General features: G+C 45.9%; 1 pseudogene; it reads right to left on the bottom strand.

The window, feature by feature from the left end:
* Nucleotides 3,013-3,119, bottom strand: RNU6-616P (RNA, U6 small nuclear 616, pseudogene; annotated as a pseudogene).

Genomic DNA, 10,574 nt, shown 5'->3' on the forward strand with positions numbered 1-10,574 from the left:
CGCCCTAGAGGATGAGCCGCGGCTCGGGGGTGGGAGGCGAGAGGAAGAAGAGGTGGGGCTGGGGGCGGGGCCGGAGCCTGGGGCGGGGCTTCGGCCTTGCCACCTGGCCTCTTGGGGTTTCTTCATTCATGCTCTAAACTTCTTCCTTCTCTGTCCTCTGATCTGCCCCTCCCCTCCCGCCTCCCCTTGAAGAGACAGACTGGAGGCTCTCACAGAGGGCCATCTCTGTCTGCGCTCCTTAGGCAGTCCCTCTTGCCTCCTGTCCTGTCTCACTCTCCTGCACACACGCACCCAGTGAGTACTCAAGGCTAGTGGCTTCTATTCATACTTCCGAGACATGTCTTGTTGACCGCCTCAGGCTCCACCCCATCCTCAGAACCTGTTTAGGCCCCATGACTTTTTGCTTGGACTCCTTCAGTAGCCTCCTGTTTGAACTCTGCTTCCACTCTTACCTCAGTCTAAACCATCTCCCAGAAAGCAGCCAGAGGTATCGATCTAAGATGTACACATGACCACGTTACTTTTCTCCTTAAAATCTTTCAGTCTCAACAGTACCTACGACACCTTAGCATGGTATATAAAGTGGGCCAAGGCAGGCAGATCCCTTGAGGTCAGGAGTTCAAGACCAGCCTGGGCAACATGCTGAAACTCCATCTCTACTAAACATACAAAAATTAGCCAGGCGCCGTGGCTCACGCCTGTAATTCCAGCACTTTGCGAGGTTGAGGTGGGCAGGTCACTTGAAGCCAGGAGTTCGAGACCAGCCTGGCCAATATGGCAAAACCCATCTCTACTAAAAATACAAAAATTAGCCAGGTGTGGTGGTGCATGCCTGTAGTCCCAGCTACTCTGGAGGCTGAGGCATGAGAATCGCTTGAATCTGGGAGGTACAAGGCTGCAGTGAGCCAATATCATTGTGCCACTGCACTCCAGCCTGGGTGACAGTCAGATGCTCTCTGAAAAAAAAAAAAAAAGAAAAGAAAAATAGAGGTTGTACATATTTTCGGAGTTCAGGTGATATTTTGATATCTTCATATAATGTGTAACAATCAAATCAGAGTAATTAGGATACCCATCACCTCAGAAGTTTGTCTTTTCTGGCCGGGCACGGTGGCTCAAGCCTGTAATCCCAGCACTCTGGGAGGCCAAGGCGGATCACGAGGTCAGGAGATCGAGACCATCCTGGCTAACAGTGAAACCCCGTCTCTACTAAAAAATATAAAAAAATTAGCCAGGCGTGGTGGCAGGCACCTGGAGTCCCAGCTACTAGGGAGGCTGAGGCAGGAGAGTGGTGTGAACCCGGGAGATGAAGCTTGCAGTGAGCCGAGATCACGCCACTGCACTCCAGCCTGGGCCACAGAGTGAGACTCCATCTCAAAAAAAAAAAAAAAAATAAGTTTGTCTTTTCTTTATACTGAGAACATTCCAATTTTTCTCTTCTACCTATTTTGAAATATACAATAAATTACTGTAAACTATAGTTACCCTACTGAAGTATCGAATACTAGCTCTCATTCCTTCTGAAACTATGAAACAACTAGAAAAACATATTGGGGAAATGCTTCAGGACAGGGCAAAGATATTTTGGGTAAGACTGCAAAAGCACGGGCAACAAAAGCAGAAACAGACAAATGGGATTACATCAAGCTAAGAAGCTTCTGTGCAGCAAAGGAAACATTCAACGAAGAGAAGAGACAATCTACAGAATGAGAAAAGATATTTGGGATCTTGGCTCACTGCAGCCTCAACCTCTTGGGCTCAAACCATCCTCCCACCTCAGCCTCCCGAGTAGCTGGGACTACAGGCGCATGCATTCATAGCTAATTTTGATATTTTCAGTAGAGACGGGGTTTCCCCATGTTGGCCAGGCTGGTCTTGAACTCCTGGCCTCATGTGATCCACCCGCCTTGACCTCCCAAAGTGCTGAGATTACAGGCGTAAGGCACCACGCCCAGCCTGGAGGTCATTATCTTAAGTGAAATAAGCCAAGGACAGAAAGACAAATATTCAATGCTCTCACTCATTGTGGGAGTAAAAAAGTGGATCTCATAAAGATAGAGAGTAGATTGGTAGTTATTAGAGGCTGGGAAGGGGAGGGGAGAAGGGTGTATTGAAGAGAGGTTGATGAATGGGTAGAAATATTTTCTCCCATTCTGTAGATTGTCTCTTCACTTTGTTGAATGTTTCCTTTGCTGTACAGAAGCTCTTAAGATTGATGTAATCCATTTATCTATTTTTGCTTTTGTTGCCTGTGCTTTTGCAATCTTACTCAAAAAAATCTTTGCCCTGAAGCATTTCTCCAATATGGTTTTTTTTTTTTTTTTTTTTGAGACAGAGTCTTGCTCTGTCGCCCAGGCTGGAGTGCAATGGTGTGATCTCAGCTTACTGCAACTTCCACCTCCTGGGTTCAAGCGATTCTCCCGCCTCAGCCTCCCGAGTAGCTGGGATTATAGCCACCCATCACCACACCTGGCTAATTTTTGTATTTTTTTTTTAATAGAGACAGGGTTTCACCATGTTGGTCAGGCTGGTCTTGAACTCCTGACCCCAAGTGATCCACCCGCCTCAGCCTCCCAAAGTGCTGGGATTACAGGCGTGAGCCACCGCACCCAGCCTCCAATATGTTTTGCTAGTGGTGTCATAGTTTCAGGTCTTAGATTTAAGTCTTTCTTTTGATTTGATTTTTGTATATGGTGAGAGGTAGGGGTCTAGTTTCATTCTTTTGCATATGGTTATCCAGTTTTCCCAGCACCATTTATTGAAGAGGCTGTTCTTTCCCCAAGGTATGTTCTTGGGATCTTTTTTCAAAAACGAATTGGCTGTAAATGCATGGACTTTTTCCAGGGTTCTCTATTCTGTTCCATTGGTCTACAGGTTTGTATTTATGCTGGTAGCAAGCTGTTTTGGTTACTATGGCTTTGTAACCAAAGTATACTTTGAAGTAAGGCAGTGTGATGCCTCCAGCTTTGTTCTTTTTGCTCAGGATCTCTGCAACCCTCTTCTTCTTTTTAAAAAAATATGGAATGCTTCATGAATCTGTTTGTCATCCTTGTGCAGGGGCCATGCTAATCTTCTCTATGTTGTTCCATTTTTAGTATATGTGCTGCCAAAGAAAGCACTGCAATCCTCTTCTGATGTACCCTATACTCTAGCCCAATACATTTGGCCATCCGTAGAAGAGAGCAGGGTCTGGGACAACTCAACCAGCACTGGCTACCTCAAATACTCTCCCTTGAAAGGAGGCCACACTATCAGTAACTTCCATAGGTCCCTTGGAGTATAACTAAAGATACAATTTTCAAAATTAAATTGTATTGATGCTCACAGGAAGAGTAAGGTGAAGTGTTGACCGATCCCCTCTCCATAAGAAAAAGGCCCAAAGAATTCTCCCCAGTTGCCCTACCCAGGCTGCCAGTAGATCTTCCTTAAGCTCATGCCTCTGATAACTTTGTTCACAGATTTCCTCAATTTATAATGCCCTTCTCTGTCTTTGGAATACCTACTTATCTTTCAAGGCCCAGTGGAAATGCTCCTTCCTCCACTAACCTTCCAGGATCTTCCATGAGAACTATTAACTCCTGCTCCATCACCATAGAATGTTGCTTATTCTGCTTTACAATTCATCTTAGGTAATCACTAGCCACATGTATATCTTCCTTTCTCTCCTACCTAGACTATGAATTCTTCAGGATGCCAGCACAATGCCTGATCCAGAAATGACATTAATACCATTTGATGAAATAAAATCCGTCATCTCCATTGCATCTGAAGCCCTAAGTAGGCCCAGAAAGGACCCTAGGCAAGGCCTCATACAACAACCATCCACCCTTCCCTAGGACATCTCCAACTTAAACTGGCCATGTGTCACTTTTGCAAATACAAACTGGTTAGGCAGCAGGGCGTTGCAAAAGGACCAATGCTTGTACTTCCCTTGCAGGTCAGACTGGTTTGTGGTATAATATGCGGTTGTGGAAAATGTAACTGGTACAGCTCACATAAGAATCCAGTATGGAAGGCCAGGCACAGTGGTTCACGCCTGTAATCCCAGCATTTTGGGAGGCCCAGGCAAGCAGATCACCTGAGGTCAGGAGTTCGAGACCAGCCTGGCCAACGTGGTGAAACCCCGTCTCTACTAAAAATACAAAAATTAGCCGGGCCTGGTGGCAGGCGCCTATAATCCCAGCTACTCAGGAGGCTGAGGCAGCAGAATTGCTTGAACCTGGGAGGCGGAGGTTGCAGTGAGCCGAGATCCCACCATTGCTCTCCAGCCTGGGCGACACAGTGAGACTCCGTCTCAAAAATAATAATAATAATAATCCAGTATAGAAAAATTGTATGGTGCCATAAAAAACAACTGAATTTCCAAAAGGAGACACGTCTCCCACCTCTGGGAGGCTTTTGACTCCTATTTGCTTTAGACTACCCTTGGGCTTGTTATCTCTTCAGATCTTATAAATTGGAAGATTTCTTCTTTTGCAAAAGTGGGCATCTTGTTTTGTGTTGTTCTTGCATCATTTAAGATACATTTGCTTTCTTTCCAATTATATCACAAGTTACACTCTGGAGGGTTTGCAGGTTGCAGTGAGCCAAGATCACACCACTGCACTCCTGGGCAACAGCCTGGGCAACAAAGAAAGACTTTGTCTCAAAACAAACAAACAAACAAAAAGGGTGAATGGTCTCCCTTTTAGTAAAGCCTGTGTTAGTTACTTCAGGAAAGATGCAGAGTCCGCTAGGCATTGGCACTGGCAGTCTTGGGATTAGGACTCAGTGAGAGCCTACTGTTCATAGCCTTTATATACGAGTGCTATTTTTGAGCTGAGGTGAGTTTGAGAGGGGCCTTATGAGAGGAGTGGGGAATATTGCCTAGTTCTCCCATTACCTTGAGGCAAGGGCTGGAGACCAAAAGATGTGGCTAAAACAGGGTTGAACACCAATAAGGCTTCGGCTGCATTCTCATTAGCTGACAATCCAGACACATGGTCAATCCAGCCATAAAAAGGTACTAAAAATCACACCTTTAATTCTAGACTGTTCAGACATGTTGCATTGCCAGTCCATTTTAGTAGCCTTTGCCCAGAGCTCCTCTCCTGTTATTTCTTGCCATAGCTCATTTTGGAAAAAAATTAAGGAACAGGAATCATAATTGCAGTCATTCAGTGGCAGAGCAGACAATAGAGACCCGTTTTAATTCCCTAGAGCACTTTTTGCAAAAGTAGGAACTGATTTCCACTGTTGCACTAACTAGCTGTACCTTTTTTCTTCCTGGGCCTTGAAATTCACTTCATAAAATGAAGCTGCTGGACTAGAACGAGTCTGTGGCAGGCCTGGTCAGAAATTTCTGTTCAAGGTCCTGGAACTAGCCTTTCTCCTGTCTTGATTCCTTGTGCAAGTTTATAGAATCAAGCCACAGAGAAACTGCCCTGTATTTCTCATCACTCCTACCCCATGACCCATATAAGTTAAATAAAAATGACTAATCAAGTTAATCAAGAGCACTTGAATTGCCTGCTAGACGTCAACACTATGTATGAACAACTTTGTTTTATTCTTTAAATAGTGGGAGCATTTTCCATGCTCCAGAGCTTGGGGTGGCCTCAGGGATGCCAAGAACCCTATGACTTAGTGAGCCTGTGGGCAGAGCTAAGGATGGTTTTTCACCTTCTGTAGTAGCAACCAGGGCACCTGTACTCTTTGCACCTGTCAGGTTACAACACTGTTACACAAGGCTATCTATTCACCATGCTAGAGAAAATTGACCAAGACAAGGAGACTGTCTTGGGCATAGTATTAAGGGGAAAGAAATAAAAGTCAGGAATTCCTTGTGAATGTGGAAAATAACCATGGAATGAGGCATATGAGGCAGTGTGGTTCACTGGAAGAAACATAGAGTCATGAGCTGTGGAAACTGGCGTAAGTTGCTTAAATTCTCTGAGCTCAAGCCTAGGCAACATGGCAAACCCCTTTCCTGCTAAAAATACAAAAAATTAGCCGGGTGTGGTGGCACACGCCTGTGATCCCAGCTACATGGGAGGCTGAGGCACGAGAATTGCTTGAACCCAGGAGGTGGAGGTTGCAGTGAGCCAAGATTGCACCACTGTACTCCAGCTAGGGGGACAGAGCGAGACTCCATCTAGAAAGAAAAAAAATTACCTGAGCTCAGATCCTTCATTTGTGAAACTTTCCTTCATAAGGTAGCCTGAGTAGAGGAAATAATGCATGTCTGTAAAGTGACTAGAACACAGAAGGCACTCATATATATGTTTATATTATGAAGAAGCTGGGACTTGATGAAGAATGAAATAAAGGCCATGGCCACTGAGATTAGTCAACTTTGTTGTAAAAATTCAAGAGGCTGTTGATAATGGGGGAGGCTGTGCATATGTGGGGGCAGGGGCTAAATGGGATATCTTGGTACCTTCCTCTCAGTTTTGCTATGAACCTAAAACTGCTCTAAAACAATAATGTCTTTAAGAAAAACTATCAAGGGGAGGACAGGCAGTGGCTCACACCTGTAATCCCAGCACTTTGGAAGGCCGAGGCGGGCAGATCACGAGGTCAGGAGATTGAGACCAGCCTGGCCAACATGGTGAAACCCCGTCTCTACTAAAAATACAAAAATTAGCCAGGCATGGTGGTGTGTGCCTGTAGTTCCAGCTACTCGGGAGGATGAGGCAGGAGAATCGCTTGAACCCAGGAGGTGGAGGTTGCAGTGAGCTGAGATCACGCCACTGCACTCTAGCCTGGGCGACAGAGTGAGACTCCGCCTCAAAAAAAAAAAACAAACTATCAAGCGGAAACAAAAACAAAACAAAACAAAAAAGCAAGGGAATCCATCTTATCTAATGATGTTGTAGACCAGATACTGTCTTAGGTCACCCTCAATTGCAGCTCATGTCTCAGCATCCTCCAGGGATTTCCAAGTGGTAATTCATACTTGGTGTCTCCACGCTCTTGGACATTTGTGCATGCTATTTTCACCCTGTCCGGTACCAAACCCTGATGAGTGTTGCTATTTTCCACAAGAAATCCAGATACAATCAGCATTTTCTAAATTTGTCAATTTTACTGCAATTCTTAAGGATTGTGGGGGAGATCCCACATCATACCCTGAGTAGCTTTGTACTATCCCACTGTCTCTACTCTCTTCCACTCTGTTCCTTTCCAAAGTCTGTACTTCCTGTGGCCTTATCCTTTATACTTAGCTCCTTGGCTTCTCTCATAAATGGCAGGCCCACAAGGTTCATCTGGAATTCTCTATCTAGCAATCTGGTAGGTGCTCAATGAAACATATTTAAAACTTAAAACTGGACTGAGACTTTTGAAACACCCAGTTGAGGGAATATGCCAAAGGGCATCACTGAAATTTCATTAAGCATCCAAGATGTATAACTTACCACCCTCACCTACTTACCTACTTTCTTCATGGGCAAACTTGGAAGGCAGACTGAACTAATAATATACCTAGAAAAAACCCCACAAGTTTGTTGTTGTTGTTGTTGTTTTTTGAGACGGACTTTCACTTTTTTTGCCCAGGCTGGAGTGCAATGGCGCCATCTCTGCCCACTGCAACCTCTGCCTCCTGGGTTCAAGCAATTCTCTTGCCTCAGCCTCCCAAGTAGCTGGAATTATAGGCACCCACCAACCATGCCCAGCTAATTTTTGTATTTTAGTAGAGACGGGGTTTCACCATGTTGGCCAGGCTTGGTCTTGAGCTCCTGACCTCAGGTGATCTGCCCACCTCAGCCTCCCAAAGTGCCGGGATTACAGGCATGAGCCACTGTGCCTGGCCAAACCACAAGTTTTTAAGGTAAGCATGTGCGTCACAGCACTTCTGGGAATATGTCCTCACAGAGGCACAGATGATTTCAATGACTGGGGTGAGCAAGCCACAGCAAGGGGAGATTCTGCAATAACATATACTTAAGATATAGCTTGTATATAATTATACTCCACTTCAGCCCATGTGATTTTGTACTTCAAAAGTGACCAGCTCTATAATCCAGCTGTAAGTATTTTCCCAAATGTCCACTGCAAGAGGCAGGTATACTATACTGCAGTGCAGTGGTTAAGAGCGTGGATAAGAGGCATTCAGACCTGGGTTAAAACTTCATTTTGAAACTTACTAGCTGTGTGTGACCTTGGGCCAGTTTGCCTCTTGTAGCTTCAGTTTCCTTATTTGCAAAATAGGGGTGATTATATAAATGTTGATGTTCTCAGTATAACTCTTCAAAACACATTTTTAATGTTGGCATTTGGAGTAACACCAGCATCTAGATACATATTTAGAATCAGTAACTTTCCTAAATACATGAAATTCAGCATTTGAAATATCTAAACTACATTTTTAAAAGCCAATTCTAGTTTAAGCTGGTTACGCACACCCAAACAAGTTCCTAGTCTTTGAAGTAAAACCCCCAAATAAAAAACCAGTAAAAAACTAAGTTACACAAGATTATGTCCCCAGAATACACTTTCACCAGTGGTACTTTATTATTAATTTTTTTTTTTTTAGAGACAGGATCTTATTCTGTCTCCCAGGCTGGAGTGGAGTGGCACGATCATAGCTCACTGCTGCCTTGAACTCCTAGACTCAAGGGATCCTCCTGCCTCAACTTCCCGACCTGCCTCAGCCTTCCAACCCACCTCAGTCTTCCGAGTAGCTGGGACTAAAAGCACATGCCATGACACCTGGTTAATTTTTTATTTATTTTTTCTTTTTCTTTTTTTTGAGACAGTCTCATTCTGTCGCCCAGGCTGGAGTGCAGTGGTGCGATCGCAGTTCACTGCAACCTCCACCTCCCAGGCAAGCGACTCTCCTGCCTCAGCCTCCTGAGTAGAGGGGATTAGAGGCATGCGCCACCATGCCCGGCTAATTTTTGTATTTTTAGTAGAGATGAGGTTTCATCATGTTGGTCAGGCTGGTATCGAATTCCCAACCTCGTGTTCCGCCTGCCTCAGCCTCCCAGAGTGCTGGGATTACAGGCATGAGCCACTGCGCCTGGCCTAATTTTTTATTTTTTGTAGAGATGGGGGTCTCCCTTTGTTGCTCAGGCTGGCCTCAAACTCCTGGCTTCAAGCAATCCTCCCACCTTGGCTTCCCTGCCTCCTGCTTGGGATTACAGGTGTAAGCCACTGTACTGGGTCTACCAGTGGTACTTTTAAGCTGGCATGCTTAAACTTGCCTAACTGTATATGCTCAGCAGTGATAGTCCATGATTGCCTGTCCCCTTGTTCAGAACACTTGGGGCAATTTTTGTTTTTTTCAGAACAAAGGCATATCTGCCTCAAAGAAGTGTACAATTCCATACTTCTTAAGATACAGAAAATGCTGGCTGGGCATGGTGGCTCACGCCTGTAATCCCGGCACTTTGAGAGGCCGAAGCGGGTGGATCATGAGGTCAGGAGATTGAGACCATGCTGGCTAACACGGTGAAACCCCGTCTCTACTAAAAAATACAAAAAATTAGCCGGGCAGGGTGGCAGGCACCCATAGTCCCAGCTACTCGGGAGGCTGAGGCAGGAGAATGGCGTGAACCTGGGAGGCGGAGCTCACAGTGAGTGGAGATTGGGCCACTGCACTCCAGCCTGGGTGACAGAGCAAGACTGGTTTGGTCTAGCTCCTGTTTTCCACCGCACAGAAAGCCAATCATTGACACAACAATTATTGCCAAGGAAGAAGGAAGAAGGCTTTAACTGGGTGCTGCAGTCAAGAAGATGGGAGCTCAGTCTCAAACCCATCTCCCTGACCCACTAAAACTAGGGGTTTATATCGCAGGGAAAAAATGTAACAATGTATAAGAAAGTAGGAACTAAGGAGAAGCAAGGAAGCAATCATGACTAATGAGGAGTCCCACATCTCATTATCTGGATGTGCTTATCTGATGAGTTTCAGTTCTCGATACTTTTCCTGAGAGGCCTGAAGGTCATCTCCTGAGGAAGTAACTCAGATAAAACAAATATAAGTTTTATGCTTTAAGATCAGAAGGCTCAATTTCTGTTTATCAAAAAAAATAAAAATAAAAATAACTATCTATGAGACTATTGGGTCAGTTTCACTTGCAGCTTTGAAATGAATGTTGTTGTTGCTGTTTCAAACCTTAGCTGTATTCTGGAGACCTGAGTTTGCTCCTCCCAGAGGCTGTCAGGACAAAATCTAGGATAGCTTAAGCCCCTCTAGTTACATATTACTCCCACTGAGAGGTGACAGCGTGCTGGCAGCCCTCACTCGCTCTCCGCACCTCCTTGGCCTCGGCGCCCACTCTGGTCCCACTTGAGAAGCCCTTCGGCCCGCTGCTGCATTGTGGGAGCCCCTCTCTGGGCTGGCTGAGGCCGGAGCCGGCTCCCTCTGCTTGTGGGGAGGTGTGGAGGGAGAGGCGCAGGTGGGAACTGGGGCTGAGTTCCAGGTGGGCGTGGGCTCGACGGGCCCCAAGCTCAGAGTGGCCAGGCTGGCTCCGCAGGCCCGGGGCACTGAGGGGCTTAGCACCCCGGCCAGCAGCTGCGGAGGGTGCGCCAGGTCCCCCAGCAGTGCCTGCCCACCAGCGCCGCGCTCCAGTTCTCCCCGGGCCCCTGCT

This window comes from Homo sapiens, chromosome X (genome assembly GCF_000001405.40).
Source record: "Homo sapiens chromosome X, GRCh38.p14 Primary Assembly".
Taxonomy (NCBI): domain Eukaryota; kingdom Metazoa; phylum Chordata; class Mammalia; order Primates; family Hominidae; genus Homo; species Homo sapiens.